The sequence below is a fragment of the Homo sapiens genome, chromosome 10, assembly GCF_000001405.40.
Source record: "Homo sapiens chromosome 10, GRCh38.p14 Primary Assembly".
NCBI classification, from domain to species: domain Eukaryota; kingdom Metazoa; phylum Chordata; class Mammalia; order Primates; family Hominidae; genus Homo; species Homo sapiens.
The window spans coordinates 123127443-123144907 of NC_000010.11; the positions used below are offsets into that span (position 1 = coordinate 123127443).

The following is a 17465-nucleotide window of genomic DNA, read 5'->3' on the forward strand; positions in this document are numbered from 1 at the left end:
TATTCACCCAATGCAATACAAAATAGCAATGAAAAAAATTAAATTACCTGAAACAAAATGACTACATCTCACTAACATATTCTTGAGCAAAAGAAGCCAGACACAAAAGATAGAAAACTACATATGATTCTATTTATATAAAGTTCAAATGGACCGGGCATGATGGTTCACACCTGTAATCCCAGCACTTTGGGAGGCCAAGGCGGGGTGGATCACTTGAGACCAGGAGTTTGAGACCAGCCTAGAAAACATAGTGAAACCCTGTCTCTATTAAAAATACACCCACAAAAAAATAGCTGGAAATAGTGGTGCATGCCTGTAATCCCAGCTACTTGGGACACTGAGGCACAAGAATCACTTGAACTTGGGAGGCAGAAGTTGCAGTGAGCTGAGATTGTGCCACTGCACTCCAGCTTAGGTGACAGAGCAAGACTGTATCTAAAAAAAAATAATAAAATCTTTTAAAATAAAGTTCAAATGCAGGCAAAACTAATCCACGAATTGTGATTATTCTTGTTGCAGATGGGGGCAAGGATGATTGGATGGGAACACAAGGAGGCCTTCTCGGATTCTGGTATGTTTGGTTTCTTAATCTGGGTGCTGGTTTTATGGGAGCATTCAATTTGTTAAAAATTGCTGGTAGTTGAGGTCCTCATTAACCACCTCCTAACAAGCCTCCTAGCCTCCTGGTCCTCCCTGCTCTGACAAATCCTTCACTCTATTTAAATGGTCTTCCTAGAACATAATCTGATCGGGTCCTCTTGCCTTCCTGTGGCAAATCTTTCTATGGCTCCCCATTGCTTAGGTCTTCAGACCCTGGTAGGCATAAGAAATACCTAGAGAACTGTTCTATTAGTTATTGACTACTGTTTAACAAATTACTCCAAAACTTAGTGGCTTAAGACATACATATTTATTATCTCACAGTTTCTGTGGGACAGGAGCCTCAGATTCATGGTCTATTGCAAGGCTCCAATCAAAGTGTTGTCCCAGGGGCTGTGTTCTCAACTGAAGGCTTGATTGGAGAAAGATCCACTTTCAAACTCACAAAGCGGTTATTGGCAACACCGAGTTTCTCACAGGCTGTTTAACTTAGGAAGTCAGTTTATCACTGGCTGTTGGTATGAGGCCACCCTTGGTTCATGAAAGCATGCAAACTGAGAAGGGAATAGAGAGAGTCAGCTAATGCACAGAAGTTACAATCTTGTAACCCAGTCATGGAAGTGACATTCCATCACCTTTATTGTATTCTGTTGGTTACAATCAAGTTACTAGGTCCAGCCTGTATTCAGGGGGAGAGAATTACACAAGCACATGAATGCTCAGAGGTGGGGATCACTGTGGGCAGGTGTTGAATTGTGTCCTCCAAAAAGATATGCTGAAGTCCTAACTCCCAGTATCTGTAAACTGACCTTATTTGGACCTTGTCCTACCAGAAGCTAGGAGAGAGGTATCCTTCCCTAGAACAAATTCTTCTTTGGAAACTCAGAGAGAGCATGGCCTTACTGACTCCTTGAGTTTGGACATTTGGCCTCCAGAATTGTGAAACAATAGATTTCCATTGTTTTAAGCCCTCCAGATTGTGGCACTTAGTTAAGGCAACCGTAGGAAAGTGATACAGGGATGGTGCTAGAAATCAGCTTACTACATCTAGCAAAATTGCAGATTCCTGAGCCCATGCTCTCCTTACTGCTGCCACAATATGATATGATGGTCTTTGTGGAAAGACCTATTGATTTTGATGCAGGAATTCAAGGGCCCACAATCGCTGATGCAGGAATTCAAGGGAAGCAGTCTCTTTGGCCCAGCTCTGTTCCCCATCTCCAGCAATCTGTGCACCCTCCCCAGCACAAACTCTATGGCTACATTCTGACATTTCCTCAGCCTCTTTGTTCTTCTCCCTTCCCTACCTGATAACACACTCATCAAGACCCTGGTTGATCACCTCCTCCAGGAAGCCTCCACTGATTACACTAAACCACCAGACTGAATTAGTTGTTTCCTTCTCTGTGATCCCAAATCACTTTGTGCCTAAATGTGCTAGAGGTACTTTGCCTCTCACATTGCATTGCCATTATTCACTCCCTTTTCAGTTTTCATTTCTAGGCTATGAGCACCCCAAGAACAGAAGTTGTGACTGATTTAGTCTTATACCCCCAGAGCCTGGCACAATGTCTGCCCAGGCATGTTGCTAACTAAGTGAATAAATGAGATGACTCTTCAGGGCTGCTCAGGCATTGTTGGGAGGAAGCTTCAGCCACTCCTCTCCCAGTTGTCCTTAGGAGTCATCTTGGCTTATATGACATGACCTTTGATTGTTCTGATTGTGCCACATTCGTGTGGCAGAAGTGATGACTCAGGGAGAATGGGTCATTCCTCAGTCACTGAGGGAAGAAGCACAGAATCAAATTGCATCAGAGCTAGAAGAGAGACATCCTGGATAACAGCCCAATGTGGGCCATGGGGACAGGCTTCGCTATCGAGGTACTCAGCTCTGATGTGGCTTGCATGACCTCACTGAAGGCTACATGGGCTAGGCTTCCCCCTATTCTGTGGGGAGAGAGTTTCTCATACACAGGAGGCTGAGCCAATGATCCTTGCATCCCTCACCCCCTGCCCAGCCACCAGCAGAAAGAGGAACTATGCAGGGAAGGTTGGGGGAGCCCCAGCTGGGTCACTGGACCAGCTCCATCGGGCTCTCAAGACAAGAGGCATTGGAAAGCTTGTACCTATGCATGGTGGCTGGGAGGTGAATATTTTCATAACCACTTGACTGAGACAGCACTAATGTATTATACAACCTACTCACTGAAAGTTTTAGTACAGTCATGGAGTTGGACAACCATCATCACAACCAATTTTAAAACATTTTCATCACCCCCAAAAAGAAACCCCATACACATTTGCAGTCACTCTTCATTCCCCTCATCCCCCTAGCATCTGCTAATCGCTTATTTCCTTTCTGTCTCTATGAAGTAGCCTCCTCTGGACATTTCATTTAAATGGAGTCAAACAATATGTGGTCTTTTACTTTGGCATCTTTCAAAGGCTCATCCACATTGCAGCATGTATCAGTGCTGGATTCCTTTGTATTGATGAACAATTTTCCATTGTATGGATAGACCACATTTTCTTCCTCCATTCATGGGATGTGGAATTTCTTTAGGTTGAGAATCCCATTGGAACTTGATGAATCTAAAGTTGACTTAAATGTAAGGCAGATATGCCACTCTTCTGCTAAAAATACCCTGCACAACAAAACAAATGAATCACACAGATTCATTGACTCAAAGAAGCAGACTCAGAAAGAGTACATACTGGACGTGGTTATTTAATTGAACTTCTAGAACCAGAATAACTCGTCTTAATTCTAAAAGTCAACAGTGGTCTCTTAGGGTGGGGTTTGGGGGAATTGATTGCAAAGGGCCAGGAGAAAACTTTCAGGGTGGGGAAATACAGTTGATAATTACTCAGGGGTATATATTTGTCAAAGTTTATGAGGTTGTATTCTCAAAATTGTGGATTTTATTGCATTGTAAATTATACTTCTTCTCCCCTAATGAGAACTCTGAGGATAGAGAGCAACCTGCAAATAATTACACTTGAAAGATTCTTGGTTTGGGGAGAAAGACTTTTTCAAAAATGTTTTGTAGAGACAGGGTCTCACTGTGTTGTTCAGGTTGGTCTCAAACTCCTAGTCTCAAGTGAGGCCCTCCCACCTCAGCTTCCCAAAGTGCTGGGATTATGGATGTGAGCCACTGTGCCTCACTGTAAGAAGAACTTTCAAAGAAGACAAGGGAACCAGGAAGAGAAACGAGGACGTGGGAGAGAGCTGGCTCATTTCTGGATAGAAGAGTAAGGCCTCCTTGAAGCAAGGAAGCAACTCTTGGGGCATCTCTCCATTGCAGAACTGTGTTAGCTTTCTCAAGGCAACACTGCAAGAACAGACTTTGGCCTGTGGGTTCATCTTGAAGAATGAATGAATGAGGAATAACAGCACAATAGCTAGGACTTACATAGCACTTACTGTAGGCCAGCCCTGTCCTTGTAACAACCCTATGAGGCTAAATGTTTTAGTACTCTCTCCAGCTCTTCCTTGTCATACTTGGGACCTCAGTTTCCTCATCTATCAATCAGAAAGAATAATAGTACCTACCTCACCAAGTTATAGTGCCTGGCTTCTAATAAGGATTCAATGACCGTGAGCCGACATTACCTCCACATAACTGTTACCCTCACTGTCATGAAAGGGTAAGACATTCAGTCACTCTAAGGACATTGTATGTGATGCAGGAAACATATGTGATCAGGCACAGCTTGGCTGTGACCTGTCTCCCAGGGCTGTGTATTTTCTAAGGGTCAGTATTTAGTCAGAGGGAGACATCATTGGCAGCATTCCTGGTGGCATCGAGAAAGATGGGAGAGAACTTTCCAGGAAAGTCCCAGTAAAGAGCTTGTGTAGCATGTGTAGGTAGCACAGTTTCCCCAGGATCACAATTCCAGGCTTTTGTCCATTCTGCCTTCAAAGCAAGGACCTGCAGGTCAGAAGAGGTGGGTGGTAAAATGAGGCCATCAGGACCAGGGCAAACCCTCTATGTTAATTGTGGGGGCCTCCAGCCTGGGAGTTTTGCAGCTTTGGCTAGAAGCCTAAGCAGTCCCCACCCCGTCCATGGATAAGGAGGTGGGCTGTGCCAGGAAGCTGCTCCAAGGAGAAGGACCGTAGTATGGCTATGGAGGGAAGGAAGCAGCCTTCTCTTAGATGAAGTACTGAAAAATATGGAAAGCTCCCCTCCTTTGGGAAGCGCCTTGCTTACTGACTTGTGTGTGTGCACAAACGTGTATGTGCTTTGTGTGTGTGGTGGGCCTGGGGCAGGTGAGAATGCCATGCCAAGCACTCCTGTATCAGGCCTCATGCTTTTGTGTAAAAGTTGGGTGTTAATCACTGGCATTCTCCAGTCCCCTTCTGCCCTCTTGGCTCCTTGTCCCAAGGGTGGGTGGTGTAGAGACCCGCTCTCACAGCCCATCTGCCTGAGATTAGCCTGGGAAAGGTCCCCCAAAGGTCCTATTCCTTGGGCTCCTTTAGGTTTTGTAAAATGCAGCATCAAAAGATCTCAGATTTCATTAAACTCTTTAAAAACAGCTTTTGGGTATGATCAGGCTATCTGAAGGTCCCTAATCAAGTGGGCCAATTCTCTGTAAGGGAACTGTGAATCCATTCATTCATTCATCCATTCATTCATTCGTCTCACTCAGGCATTCAGGCATTAATACAAGCGTTTCCTGAGCACAAGCATTTCCTGAGCACAAGCGTTTCGTCCGCTGATCGGCCGGCGGCGCTGAGTCCTGGGAAGACGAATGAGGCAGGCCCGTTCCCTCCTTCCCTCCCCGAGTCCTTCCTGGAGAACACCTAGCCTGAGGTTAGGACCGGCACCTAAAGGATAGAACGAGACGGGGACCACAGAATGGGCCCTAAAACAGGCAGGAAAAGCGGGAAGGAGGATGACAGGCAGGCGAGACCACTTCCTGTCGTGGCCAGGTAGAGATCAGCAGAGATCTGAAGGCGATTTCACCCACTTCTTCTCCCGGGATCCAGAGAAAAAATGCTTTTGTTTTCTAACTGCGGCGGCGAAGGGCGAGACCTCAATGGCTTTTAAACGTCCTGCGCCGGGACAGCGGTTTCTCCAGCGGAACCTGCAGGCTTGGTTCAGAGGCTGTCCCATAGAGGGCGCTGTCTGCCTGACTTTGAATGGAGTCGTGAGCGCAAGAACGCTGGCAACACCTCTCGCCAGACGGCGAGTAAAGGGCTGAGTCCGCGCCCAGACCCGACTCCCACCAGCTTTCTCGAAGGGGAAGGGAAAGATCTACTCAATACATCCCGCTTTTCAAGCCCAGCAATCCCTAAAACTGAGAGGATGGGCTGAGAGTGCTGACACTGGAGAAGCTCCTCTCCCGGGCCAAACACAAGCACATAACAGCGCCCCTGCGCGCCCCTGGGAGGGGAGTCAACCGGAGAACTTGGGGCGACAACCGGAAAGCCGGGATCCGGTAGCCGCACAGCAGGGATGCGGGCGGCTGTCCCGGACTCTTCTCCCGCCACACTGGGCCTGTCCCCTCCCCATCTGAGTCTAGCGCTGGAGTTGTGATCAGCCACGAGTCCCCCTCCCCAGACTGAACCCTCAGCATTCCCAGTTTAAAGTCGACTTTCGTGCGTCAGAACTCTAGCCAAGTTTGCATGCGTCTGCGCTGAATGGCGAAGCTCCCAAAACACACAGGCATACACGCCGGGGTCTCTCCACGCATACTCGGCCGCGTGGCAGGCTGTGTGCAGGCGGTGCCCACCCAACCCTCATAGACCTACGTGCATCGAGCTATTTCTGCGGTTGGGGGAAAATGACCTCTGGGTATCCAGCAGCGATTGGGCGACCTAGGCCCAGTTTCCTCCTCTCTGGGCGCGGGTTTCCACTTACAAAATCCAAGTATGAGACCCACCCTGCTGGGGTCTCAGGGCAGTGATCCGTTCCAACCCAGATTTTGGATGGCGTAGCGTTTTGCATTCCAGTAAAGCCCTGTGTAAACTCAAGGGAGTAATAACAGTAATTGTTTATGGAAGCGCCATTTACGTTTCCAGATTTCCAAAGCAAAAATGGGGTTCGCTGCTGTAGATGAATGCAGAAAGAAACATTACATATGCCCGTCGAGATTTGGTGGGGGAGGGTCTGACGCCCCAGGACCGAAAAACAAAATCTACCTCTCAAGTGGGGACCCCACACGATCACGTCTGCCAATGCAGGGCGGCCTTGAATTAGGCGAGGCTCAATCTAACGAAAAAGAAAGCGGTGGGGAGGTGAAGGGATCCCAAAAAGCCCTCGTGTGCGGGAGCTTCACCAGGGTGGAAGAGGGTGAGGCCAGTTTGTCACCTTTCTCTGATAAGAAAGCTGTCTCTCGGGAGGGGACCTCACAAACAATTCTGATTTACTTGATGCTTAAATCATGAGTCTTAAATGTCTGCCTCATGGGCTTCTCGTGCGAACCGGGGAGCTGTTTTTAAAGCCAGTGGAGTGGAATGTCCTTTCACTAAGCCGTTCTGCAAAGGTCCAGTGTGGTTCTCTAAGGACTTCGCTGCCGTCGAGACGCGCAGCGGATGCCGCTGCTTGCCGCGGCGGAGGAAGCTACGCCGCTGCGCCTTCGGTTCACCTTGCCCCCATTAAAGCGTTAGTTAGACAGCTCCAAACGCCAGCTGGCCGGAGAGACTTCCTGGGAGAAAGTGCTGTCGTCGGGGTCACAGACTCGGAGTTGATCCGCGAGCCTTGGGCACCGGCGGCCAGAGCAGAGGGGTGCCCTTCCGAGAGCAGCCGTCGGTGCCGAGAAGCTGTTGCCCCAGCAGCCCCACCGAGTGACGCGCGGGTTTTGGCCGGGTCAGCGCGCATACGCACACAGGCACACCCACTCCTGGTCCCGGGGGAAGGCTCACTCTTCGGTTTTCCAGGGCTAAAGGCCAAGGCCACGCGGATTTCTGAGTCCGAAGACGCAGTGCGAGGACTTACACCTGGATTCCCTTACTATCGGCTGGATGGTGGGTGGGGAACCCAAATCCCTCTCTTCTTGGCCTCGCCCTTCCTAGCAGGCTTTAGGAAAAATACCGAGGTCGCCGGACCCCAAAGGGTAGGAAAATGATGAGTTCTCCGAGGGCCGAGGTCACGTCCTGCCTCTTGGGCCGGCGCTGCGTGGCTCTCCAGCTGCGTGGGGGCGGCGGGCCCCTGTCCAGCCCCAGGGGGCGGGGGAGCGGCAGCTGCGAGCGCAGATAACCCCGAGGTGACCCGGGAGGGCCTGGTCCGCCCCTCCCCCCTCCCGCAGGCCTGGCGGCGGGAAGCGGGTCCCTGCGCCGCAGGGGGGAGAGGCAGGCGCGGTCTCCGGGCTCGCGGCCGTTAGTGCGCTTCGGCCAAGGGCGCCGCCTGCTCCGCGTCCCTCGCTCGCCTCCTGCGCTCGCAGGAGCGCTCCGAGTGCCTCTTTAGCGGGAGCCAATATCCTTTTGTGCTAATAGGCTTGTCCTCATTTGCTGCCTAATTGGACTATATAAAGCCAATAACGGGCGGGCTCTTATAGCCCGAAGCCAAAGCGCCAAAATCCGAGGGAAGGCGAGGAGGGGGCGGTGGCGGAGGCGGCTGCGGGGCCGGGGCTCGGCTGAGCCTTCGCCTGCCTAATCCCATTTGCCATTGTACGCGCCCAATCGCCGTATACTCCCCGCATTTAACTTGGATGACATTTTGATTTCATCATTAGCATCCGGCGCCGGATTGACGCAGCCTCGAGCCGGGGACTGCTCTTGCTGCCTCCTCCGCGGGAGCCGCAGCCGCAGCCGAGCCGCCTCGATCCCTCGGTGCCGCGGCAGGGCCGCTCCCCGCCCCTCCGCACCCCTCCCTCATGCGAGCCCGCCCGTCTGGGTCCTCACTCCGCCCTCCCGCCGTTGGATTTGCGCCCGGGGCGGCCCCCGACTTTGCGCCCCGTAGTTGAGTTCCGTTTATGGTCTGATTTCCGGCCTCTCGCCTGCTCGCCCCGCCGCCCGCCTGTCCCGCTCCCTCCCTCCCGGGGACCCGGAGGAGAGGGGACCATGCCGGAACCCGGGCCGGACGCTGCCGGCACCGCCAGCGCACAGCCCCAACCGCCGCCGCCCCCCCCACCCGCTCCCAAGGAGTCCCCGTTCTCCATCAAGAACCTGCTCAACGGAGACCACCACCGGCCGCCCCCTAAGCCTCAGCCGCCCCCACGGACGCTCTTCGCGCCAGCCTCGGCTGCCGCCGCCGCCGCCGCTGCCGCTGCCGCGGCGGCCAAGGGGGCCCTGGAGGGCGCCGCGGGCTTCGCGCTCTCGCAGGTGGGCGACCTGGCTTTCCCTCGCTTTGAGATCCCGGCGCAGAGGTTTGCCCTGCCCGCGCACTACCTGGAGCGCTCCCCAGCCTGGTGGTACCCCTACACCCTGACCCCCGCCGGCGGCCACCTCCCGCGACCTGAAGGTACCGACCTCTCTTTGAACTTTCGTTGTCCCCCTGCGCGCCCGCCCCGTCCCCGCCCCGCGCTGCTTCCCTCCGCAGTTCTGGGACCCCAGCACCCGCAAACCCTCTGCTCGGTCAGTTTTTTTCGGCCCCTAGCCTGCCCTCGCGCTGGGTTGCGCTGCCCGTTAATCCAATCCCACTTGGTGAGAAAAGAAGTGGAATTGGAGCCCCGGGCACGGTGCTTCCCGGGAAAAGTGGCCTCGGGCGTGAATAGGGAGGCTTCGGACGGCCGGGGCTTGGGACACGGCCTGGAAGGAGGGGGTGATTCCAATGCGCCTAAGCCGAAAGGGAACCGTTCTGCCGGCCCCTGGCGAGGAAGCTGAGGGAATGGAAGGAGGTGGCCGCGCTACCACCATCTGCTTGCCTGTCCTCGGGAGGAGGGGGATCCCAGGACTCGGCGTCCCTTCTCTGGCCCAGCCGAGAAGGAGGCAGCCCGCGGGAATGGTGAGGCCTCATGGCCTGGGACCTGGAGGCCGGCGCGGGTTGAGCCTGCCGTCCCCAGGCGCCGGGCCTCGCTCAAGGCTGTGTCGGTGTGCATGTGTGTGCGTCCGTCTGTCTGTCTCCCCAGCCTCGGAGAAGGCCTTGCTGAGAGACTCCTCCCCCGCCTCCGGCACAGACCGCGACTCTCCGGAGCCACTGCTCAAGGCCGACCCCGATCACAAGGAGCTGGACTCCAAGAGCCCGGACGAGATCATTCTGGAGGAGAGCGACTCCGAGGAAAGCAAAAAGGAAGGCGAAGCGGCGCCAGGCGCGGCCGGGGCGAGCGTAGGGGCGGCGGCGGCCACTCCGGGCGCAGAAGACTGGAAGAAGGGCGCTGAAAGTCCAGAGAAGAAGCCGGCGTGCCGCAAGAAGAAGACGCGCACAGTCTTCTCGCGCAGCCAGGTCTTCCAGCTCGAGTCCACCTTCGACATGAAGCGCTATCTGAGCAGCTCGGAGCGAGCCGGCCTGGCCGCGTCCCTGCACCTCACCGAGACGCAGGTCAAGATCTGGTTCCAGAACCGCCGCAACAAGTGGAAGCGGCAGCTGGCGGCGGAGCTGGAGGCGGCCAACCTGAGCCATGCCGCGGCGCAGCGCATCGTGCGGGTGCCCATCCTCTACCACGAGAACTCGGCGGCCGAGGGCGCGGCGGCTGCAGCCGCGGGGGCCCCGGTGCCAGTCAGCCAGCCGCTGCTCACCTTCCCGCACCCCGTCTACTACTCGCACCCGGTGGTCTCTTCCGTGCCGCTGCTACGGCCGGTCTGAGGCCCCAGAGGGGTGGGGGAGGGAGCGCCCGGCCTCCTTGTCCGGACCCCGGAGGAGACTGGGCCGGGCCGAGGGCGCCGAGAAGTCCAGCGGCCTTCAGGAACTGGGGCTTGGGCGCGCAGCCTCTGCTTCCCCTCCCCCAGTCGGTAGCATTTTGTAAGTATTTGCAATGCATTTTCGTGCAATTCATCCCTAATGGATTGGAGGCGCTTCCCCTCTTACTTTTGGTTTTTGGCTTATATTAAGAGAAAGCAGGAACAAGACAAAATTTTCGGGTCAGAGATTTCGGCCGATAGTTTTTGTAAAATGTGCAGCCCTCCCTTCCAAATTTCCATTGCGCGGTGGCTTTTTGGTTTTATTTTTATAGAAGGAAAATAAGCGCAAAACCTAAATCCCTCTAGTTTATTCTTTTCTGCTTTTTTTTTTTTTTCCGAGACGGAATCTTGCTCTATCTATTGCCCAGGCTGGAGTGCAGTGGCGCGATCTCGGCTCACTTCGACCTCCGCCTCCCGGGTTCAAGTGATTCTCCTGTCTCAGCCTCCCGAGTAGCTGGGATTGCAGGTGTGTGCCACCACGTCCGGCTAATTTTTGTATTTTTAGTAGAGACGCGGTTTCACCATGTTGGCCAGGCTGGTCTTGAGCTCCTGACCTCGTGATCCGCCCGCCTCGGCCTCCCAAAGTGCTGGGATTACAGGCGTGAGCCACTGCGCCCGGCCTAGTTTATTCCTTTTCTATAGAACTGTTTTCAGAATCCAGAGAGGGAGAGAATTCATATGATAGTACTTTTATTTCTGGATTTCTGGGTATGTTTCTTCCTCCCAACCCCCAAATCAGTTATCCACCTTAATTTTCAAAATATGAGCAGCCTCTCATAAGAATCCCGACTCAGGCCGCTTTTCTCTTCTGGAGAGGTCTGTTGCAATTAGCCTCTTCATCGGTCTTACTTTGTGATGGAAGAATTCTCTAAGTGTCTAAAGAGAAAAGACAGCCAAAAATCAGAACTCTGACTATTTGAAACAGCTCCATATCTGGCCTGGTCTAAGTGGTCTTATTTATTAGTAGCATTTATTTTGAGAATTTCATTTGTAAATTATTATTAATATTACTATTATTACTTTGTTCCCTGTTTTGAGAGAGTAATTTCAGTATTTTTAATATGATATCTTTTATCCTCTCCTCTTACTTTTCATGTTCTGCAGTAATTATTGTACGTTGACCTGTGCAATATTGTACAAAATCTCCTGAGAAAGCTGTTTCCTCCTCCACCGTGGGAAACAGACCTTTTCACTGTATAATCATGGTCATTCATTTAGAAAGAAAAAAGTAGGCAGGGGAAAGGGGGGAAGAAAGAAACAAGCTTAGGTAGTGATGCTCAAAGGAGTAAGTTAGGCATACTGGAGCGCTTTAAGTGAAGGACAATCAATTTAGCAGAATTTTAACTTATTTGATAAATGTACAGATTTCTTGTAAAGTTCACCCTCTACTCCGCAGGGCTCCTGGCTCTGTCACCCAATCTGTTTTCTTTCTGTCGGTACACCTGTTGTTCTGTGATAGTTTGTTTCCCCTCATCTCCCTCACCTCTGCCTGGGTTGAGTCCCTTTTTAAGAAAAAGAGAAAAAAAAAACCCACAAAATATTGTTACACTAATGTTGTCGTGACATTGAATTAATTAAAAAGAAAAGAAAAGCTTTACGTGTTGCCAGAGTGTGTAAGTTTGGACGATTTTCCCTAGAGCAAATGTCTCCAAAACTCTTTTCTGTCTTGCTCGCTGACTGCCTCTGCGCTCTCTAAGTACAACCTGGACGCACAACCCTGTATTCCGGGAGGCGGTGGAGACAGAGGCGGCTTTGTTCGCGACCAGAGGCACTCTCTCCCCTGTACTTTCCGCGGCCTGAAACGCCCAGCGAGCAGGGAAGAATGCTGGGCGGAAGGGGAGTGGACTTAGGCTTATCTAGTTTGCGAAATTGAGCAAAGCGACAGCGCGCGAGGCGAGATACCAGAGACAGCTGGTATTTCCGAACACTGGTCTGCAGCCTCCCGTTCTGTTCTTAAACCTGGGTTCCTTCGGGAGCCGAGAGCTTTTGGGCAGGGCATCCCTGGGCATTCGTCAGCTGGTTAACTTCGGTGGGCTCTGGTTGGAGGGAAGAAGGGAGTGAGTTCAGAGTTTAGCTGCAGCCGTAGGCCGATTGCCAAGTCAGGCTAGGAAAGGCTGGGCCACAAGAGGACAACCCCAGGGACAGCCAGCTCTTGGGACAGCGGCTCCCACTACCAGGAGAGGGGAACTTCCTCAGGTCTTGCAGAGCTGAGATTCCCGGGGCGACTCGAGCATGGGCGCGGTCCTGATGTGCTAAGTGTGAGGGAACAGAGGCTACCTAGCTGCTGCAGCTGCAACAGAGAAGACCTTGTCTCTTCCGTGCCAGGCTCTTCTCTTTCCCCTGGCGCCCAACACCTCCTGGGCGGCATCTCTAGATCCCCGACCCTGTCCTGGCAGACGCCGAGAAGCGTAGCGCTCACCACACCCGCGCGCTACTGGGTTCCAGGCCGCCGCGCTCTTAGTGAGCAGCCTGCGGAGGCACAGCGCGCCGGAACCGCCTGGAAGGGTGGGTCCGCCCGACAGAAGCAGGTGCCTGGGCGACACTCGCTGGCCGGGTGTGGCCGCCTGCCTTTAAGCTGGGGGTCTGCACGTACAATTCCTGGCGGGGCACCTTTGAAGCTGGGGAGCCGAAAGGGGGAGATGAGGAACCCAGAGGGTGAAAAAGATTCCAGAGAGCAGCCATAGGGCGCGACCGCTGGGGAGCGCCTGCACGCCTCTCTTTCCTCTCGCAGTGCGTTGCTAGGCTCCTCAAATTCAATCGACACAATTGATTCTACTGTGGCTGAAACGTCCAGTATAGTTTTCTGTTAATGGAAAACTGCCCTCCGAATAAACCGACATGCGTATTTATGGCAAAATTTTAGCCTGGACCCCAGTGAAGATAGATCTCTCTTTATTTCCCTCTGGTTTGGAATAAAAACGAGGGCATGTGTCATAAATGAAACATAAACAGAAATTCGGGTCAAAATATGTTGTTCCTTGTGTTACCTACAAACATGGTGATGCCTTTTACTGTTGGCAATACCAACTGCAGGACAGGCCAATAACAGCTCATTAAAAATAATGTTGCAACAGCAAACACGTTCTTAGATTTTTACAGCCAGAACACGATGTTATCAAAGGCCAAGAAAATGCTTCTTTATTTGTGTTTGGATTCTAGAAAACGGTTCTTGACTGATCAGGTCTTTACAAAGTCGGGAAATAACTGGTTCTCCACAAGCACAGTTTATCCTTTGTCCTGCTCCTACAGCCTCCCTTTTCCTCCTGTTGGGGAGCCCCACTGCCCTGGACCCCCGAGCATTCCTCCTCCAAACAGTGATCTGCGCCCTGGGGGAGGGAGGTGGTGCCAACTTCGCCTGGGGACTGGTGGCTGTGTGAGCCTAGAAGCTGGCCCAGGTGGGAAATGTCCCCTTCCCTCCTGTCAGGGGTCACCATATTTATCCCAGGGCAAGCAAAGGGGTTGAGCCAGGGTGCGGGGCTGTGGAGCACAGAAGCCACTCTACACAAAGCATCCTAAGCTCAACTGCAAGTTTTTCTGTGGTTTCAAGCCAGGAGAATCCAAGAAGGCACTTAGTGGGGCTGTCACATCTCCAGAGCTGGCCGTCTTCTTCCCCCACCCAGAATGCCTCCCTCCCTGCTGCCTCTGCAAAGATTACTAGGAGCTGCTGCCACCACTCACAAAAAGGGGCCTTTTTTGGGAAAAGTGAATGTGCCTACACAAAATTCCTCCTGGACATTCCCTAGGGGAAGACAGGGCATCCCATGTCCTCTCTCCTAGGACACTGAACTGGCACTCTCAATTTTGTCTTTTCACCCCTCCTTCAGACTGTGGAGCCCAGCTTCTCTTTGCCAACCCTAGCTTTAGATTCTTCCCATCTGCACCCCAATTAATCTTCAAGTCAACGCAAATGACTTCAGCTTCCAGGCTAAATCCTTTCTGCATCACCCAAAGAGACACACATGGAAACAACACACAGGAGGATACACTCACATTTGATATAAACACTCACCATACACATCCACACACTGTAGACCTCCTAACACCATTTCCTTGGGTTCCTAGCATACCCAATCACAAATGTGTTTGGCATCACCACCATTGCTAAGGCACAGACGTAATTACACACATCTTGTTCGAAGTGACCCTTTACTCCGATGGCCTTAGGCTTAGGCAAGCTGGGGAGAATCCTGGGAAAGGACTGGGCAGAGTGAGGTGGCGCTCCCACCTCTGCTGCAGGAAGCCTTAGTGAACATCCTTTGGACCGGGATGCCTCGAAGTCCCTCCTCACAAGCCACCTGGGATACACTAGCGGAGCCTGCCACCATCCCACCGCAGACCCCCTTGCTCTTGTAGGCTGGGATCCTACTCAGTGTCCGCCTCCTTACAGTGCCAGGCTCTGCCGCTCTGAGCACCCCCGAGGCCTCTGGACCCTGGGAGACCACAGAGCCAGCACGCGAACTGTTTCTGTTGGCAACACAGATGTATTTCTTTTATTTGGTAGTAAATAGAGTGGGTGTGTGTACATCAAACAACAGAAAGACAGATATAAACTGCCCCCCCACCACCGGGCGCTCATTCTGAGCCGCGACGCCCCCTCAACAGGCTCCCGGCACCGCAGAGCCAGAGGCCACGCGGTGAGAACCCCAGTGCGTGCGCTCTTCTTGTGTGAGAGGCCGGAGGTAGAGTTGGGAGAAAGAGGAGCCGGCGAAAAGGTTAGTGGGATCTGCTTTCCCTTCTGCGGCCTTCTGGGCCAGCTAGGGCCTGGGAGATGGGGACCAGGGTCGGAGGCTTGGGGGCGGGAGGGCGGTGCTGCCGGCTGCTTCCTGCAAGCGGTTTGAAGAGGCATCGCGTTGTCCGGCCGCCTGCGCAAGGGCCACGCGCTGCTGCTTTCACCCCCTTGCGCCCGCGGGGCACCTGGACTCCCCTTAAGAGTCCCCGTGGGGCCTGAGCTTCTGCTGGGCGCTACGCTGCCCTCCACGATTCCATTTTGCCCCATTTACTCGGGTCGTCCACTTCCCGCGGCTCAGTGACCCAGCCAGGGGGCGTCTTCCGCTAGCGGTCCAAATGTAGACTCCGCAAAGAGGCTAAGAAGACCTGTCTACCCGGGTGCGCGCGATGGGGTCAGGGTGTAAGAACCAGGAGCCTCATAGAAACCTCTGCTTGGGGTCCAAAGCCCAGCCGGGCACTCCCAGAGGACAACATCCGCCCCCGCATGTACACGTGGCCCCGCAGGACCCAGCCGCAGGGCTCCCACGCTCGGCTCCCCGCCCTCTCGCTGTCCCCCACCCCCTAACCCGGGCTTTGAGGTGTGAGCGATCCCTTGCCTCTGGGCCTAGGACTCTGGAAGTGTGCACGGCCGTTGTGCAGGGTGGATGGTGTTGACCTTTTGACCTGAAAACAGTTGGGGGCTGGGGAGCGGAGGAAGGATGGCGGAAGAGAGGAAAGAGCCACGAGAACAACTAGGCGGGATGTACTTTTGAGCCCTGCCGGGTGTCTCCGATCGGAGTCTGGGGTTGAGATTTGGGCTGCACTTGTCCCCGGTGTGTCTCTCCGGCGGAGTACCCTGAAGGTGCACGAGGTGGGGAGCATAGGCTGAGGTGGGTAATCGGGTCCTGGATAGAAACACAACCCTCGTCCTCACTGGGGCCCATGTATGCGCCTGGGATTCCTCCCCACCCTTCCATTTCCAGGACCCCTAAGGGTATCACTCCAGCGACGGGGCGGTTCTGGAGACCCGAGGGAAGGGATAGCTGGAGACTGCAGCGCGCCTTCTCCGAGAGTCCCCTGGAGGTGCGCATGAGTTGTACTAGCGCAGATCTCTTCCTTGGCTGCTGCTCCTGGCGATGCATCTCCGGGGGAAACTTCCCAAAGTCTGAGTTGCCGGGGTTCCAAAAGGATCCCTTTGGGTTTAGGCCTGGGAGAGGTATAGAGCCAGCGAGAGAGCGCGTTGCGCCTATCACTGAGGCAGGAGCGGTGAGGTGGAGTCACCTGCTGTGCCTCACCCAAGCGCTAATGTCTTAAAGAAATATAAAGAATCCCCTTCTTTCGTGAGCTCCTTCACCGCCCTCGCCCCCGTTGGTGATGGAGTGCACGCATCAGATTTTCATCAAAGTTCTATTAAGTGAAACATAGGTTGCAGGGCACCCTTTGATTGAAACAGTTTAAATTTTAATTGTGTTTTTAATTTGACATATAGTTGCAGAAAGGAATGACACTGCGTCGCCAAGGGGCGGTCGATTTTCTTAATTTCTCCCAGAGGAATTGATGAGTCTATCAGGCCACTAGATTGGAAACCCATTAAAGCTCTCTGGTTAGGCTGTTAATTGGAACTTGATGGATGTGGGGGGGTGGGGAGGGGGGTGGAGAGTGTCGGGACTCGGCTATGCTGATCCAATCTTCATGACTTTCTGTTTTCCAATAAATTACACAATTCATTTTCCAGCAGCAGATTACATAAATTGTACACCTCTGGGGCTCTCTTTTTCAAATAGGGAGCCCTTTTCCCCAAAAGCCTATTGTGAGATGTCATTTGCACCAAAGAACGAACAGCAGAGGCCCTTGAACGAAAATCGAAACATAATCAACGTTTATACTTAGAAAATTTATTGAGATCATTTTCTCTGGTATTTCCTTATTTTAAAGTTTGGACGCGCCATATATCATAATCCACTCGCGTGGGGGCGGGGGGGCAGACTGTGTTTAATATTTATCGAAGCTTGATTCCAAGATCAAACTTGTTTATGACTTCATCTGTCATTTCGGAGGGAGCCTTCTTCTATTACCCGGCTCAGCCAGCCTATTTCCCAACTGCCGCAGAGCAGAGAGGATCAATTTTTATTAGGATCCTCGGCAAGTTTGCTCTGGGCCGCTTTAATATTGAGCAGTGGCATAATCTCGGGACCTAAACTTTAAGCGTTCTTTCAGGCTCAGAAAGTTTATCATTCCTTGGAACCTGGTTATGCCTAATTCCTAGGAGAGGGAGACAGGGGGTCGATCCCAAAGATGCAGAGGGGCCATCCTCCAAGGTGTGGGTATTAAACTGAGTAGGATTGGGCGGAGCTATCCCAAGGCTAGGGAGGTG

The 17465-nt window shown here is 53.0% G+C and overlaps 1 protein-coding gene across 1 annotated transcript, besides 15 other annotated features; it reads left to right on the forward strand.

Moving 5' to 3' along the window:
• Nucleotides 5395–5504: an enhancer, noted in NCBI's record as "active region_4146". NCBI's record gives its function as "activates an Ori minimal core promoter by ATAC-STARR-seq in GM12878 lymphoblastoid cells {active_cell/tissue: GM12878}" and the evidence as "EXISTENCE:reporter gene assay evidence [ECO:0000049][PMID:35858748]".
• Nucleotides 5571–5865: an enhancer, noted in NCBI's record as "tiled region #13916; K562 Activating non-DNase unmatched - State 4:PromP". NCBI's record gives its function as "activates a minimal TATA promoter and a strong SV40 promoter by Sharpr-MPRA in K562 cells {active_cell/tissue: K562}" and the evidence as "EXISTENCE:reporter gene assay evidence [ECO:0000049][PMID:27701403]".
• Nucleotides 5945–6034: a silencer, noted in NCBI's record as "silent region_2895". NCBI's record gives its function as "represses an Ori minimal core promoter by ATAC-STARR-seq in GM12878 lymphoblastoid cells {active_cell/tissue: GM12878}" and the evidence as "EXISTENCE:reporter gene assay evidence [ECO:0000049][PMID:35858748]".
• Nucleotides 7697–7816: a silencer, noted in NCBI's record as "silent region_2896". NCBI's record gives its function as "represses an Ori minimal core promoter by ATAC-STARR-seq in GM12878 lymphoblastoid cells {active_cell/tissue: GM12878}" and the evidence as "EXISTENCE:reporter gene assay evidence [ECO:0000049][PMID:35858748]".
• Nucleotides 7697–8896: a biological region, named in NCBI's record as "H3K27ac-H3K4me1 hESC enhancer GRCh37_chr10:124894701-124895651".
• Nucleotides 7743–8693: an enhancer, noted in NCBI's record as "H3K27ac-H3K4me1 hESC enhancer chr10:124894701-124895651 (GRCh37/hg19 assembly coordinates)". NCBI's record gives its function as "activates a minimal SCP1, AML or CMV promoter by ChIP-STARR-seq in naive H9 embryonic stem cells {active_cell/tissue: H9 hESC(naive)}" and the evidence as "EXISTENCE:reporter gene assay evidence [ECO:0000049][PMID:30033119]".
• Nucleotides 7847–7976: a silencer, noted in NCBI's record as "silent region_2897". NCBI's record gives its function as "represses an Ori minimal core promoter by ATAC-STARR-seq in GM12878 lymphoblastoid cells {active_cell/tissue: GM12878}" and the evidence as "EXISTENCE:reporter gene assay evidence [ECO:0000049][PMID:35858748]".
• Nucleotides 8357–8436: a silencer, noted in NCBI's record as "silent region_2898". NCBI's record gives its function as "represses an Ori minimal core promoter by ATAC-STARR-seq in GM12878 lymphoblastoid cells {active_cell/tissue: GM12878}" and the evidence as "EXISTENCE:reporter gene assay evidence [ECO:0000049][PMID:35858748]".
• Nucleotides 8487–8896: a silencer, noted in NCBI's record as "silent region_2899". NCBI's record gives its function as "represses an Ori minimal core promoter by ATAC-STARR-seq in GM12878 lymphoblastoid cells {active_cell/tissue: GM12878}" and the evidence as "EXISTENCE:reporter gene assay evidence [ECO:0000049][PMID:35858748]".
• HMX3 (H6 family homeobox 3) lies at nucleotides 8528–11981 on the forward strand. The gene is made up of 2 exons (NM_001105574.2): nucleotides 8528–9008; nucleotides 9616–11981. The coding sequence occupies exons 1-2, from the start codon at nucleotides 8609–8611 to the stop codon at nucleotides 10287–10289; spliced, it is 1074 nt and encodes a 357-aa protein (NP_001099044.1). The 5' UTR covers nucleotides 8528–8608; the 3' UTR covers nucleotides 10290–11981.
• Nucleotides 8907–8956: a silencer, noted in NCBI's record as "silent region_2900". NCBI's record gives its function as "represses an Ori minimal core promoter by ATAC-STARR-seq in GM12878 lymphoblastoid cells {active_cell/tissue: GM12878}" and the evidence as "EXISTENCE:reporter gene assay evidence [ECO:0000049][PMID:35858748]".
• Nucleotides 9876–10840: an enhancer, noted in NCBI's record as "H3K4me1 hESC enhancer chr10:124896834-124897798 (GRCh37/hg19 assembly coordinates)". NCBI's record gives its function as "activates a minimal SCP1, AML or CMV promoter by ChIP-STARR-seq in naive H9 embryonic stem cells {active_cell/tissue: H9 hESC(naive)}" and the evidence as "EXISTENCE:reporter gene assay evidence [ECO:0000049][PMID:30033119]".
• Nucleotides 11881–12650: an enhancer, noted in NCBI's record as "H3K4me1 hESC enhancer chr10:124898839-124899608 (GRCh37/hg19 assembly coordinates)". NCBI's record gives its function as "activates a minimal SCP1, AML or CMV promoter by ChIP-STARR-seq in naive H9 embryonic stem cells {active_cell/tissue: H9 hESC(naive)}" and the evidence as "EXISTENCE:reporter gene assay evidence [ECO:0000049][PMID:30033119]".
• Nucleotides 12085–12134: a silencer, noted in NCBI's record as "silent region_2901". NCBI's record gives its function as "represses an Ori minimal core promoter by ATAC-STARR-seq in GM12878 lymphoblastoid cells {active_cell/tissue: GM12878}" and the evidence as "EXISTENCE:reporter gene assay evidence [ECO:0000049][PMID:35858748]".
• Nucleotides 14412–15348: an enhancer, noted in NCBI's record as "H3K4me1 hESC enhancer chr10:124901370-124902306 (GRCh37/hg19 assembly coordinates)". NCBI's record gives its function as "activates a minimal SCP1, AML or CMV promoter by ChIP-STARR-seq in naive and primed H9 embryonic stem cells {active_cell/tissue: H9 hESC(naive and primed)}" and the evidence as "EXISTENCE:reporter gene assay evidence [ECO:0000049][PMID:30033119]".
• Nucleotides 15349–16285: an enhancer, noted in NCBI's record as "H3K4me1 hESC enhancer chr10:124902307-124903243 (GRCh37/hg19 assembly coordinates)". NCBI's record gives its function as "activates a minimal SCP1, AML or CMV promoter by ChIP-STARR-seq in primed H9 embryonic stem cells {active_cell/tissue: H9 hESC(primed)}" and the evidence as "EXISTENCE:reporter gene assay evidence [ECO:0000049][PMID:30033119]".

What these genes read in the sequence shown, in the direction of transcription:
- HMX3 (NM_001105574.2), top strand. Translation starts at nt 8,609, where the DNA reads ATGCCGGAACCCGGGCCGGACGCTGCCGGCACCGCCAGCGCACAGCCC. An exon ending in CCACCTCCCGCGACCTGAAG is followed by an intron (nt 9,009 to 9,615) that starts GTACCGACCTCT and finishes CTGTCTCCCCAG; the next exon opens with CCTCGGAGAAGGCCTTGCTG.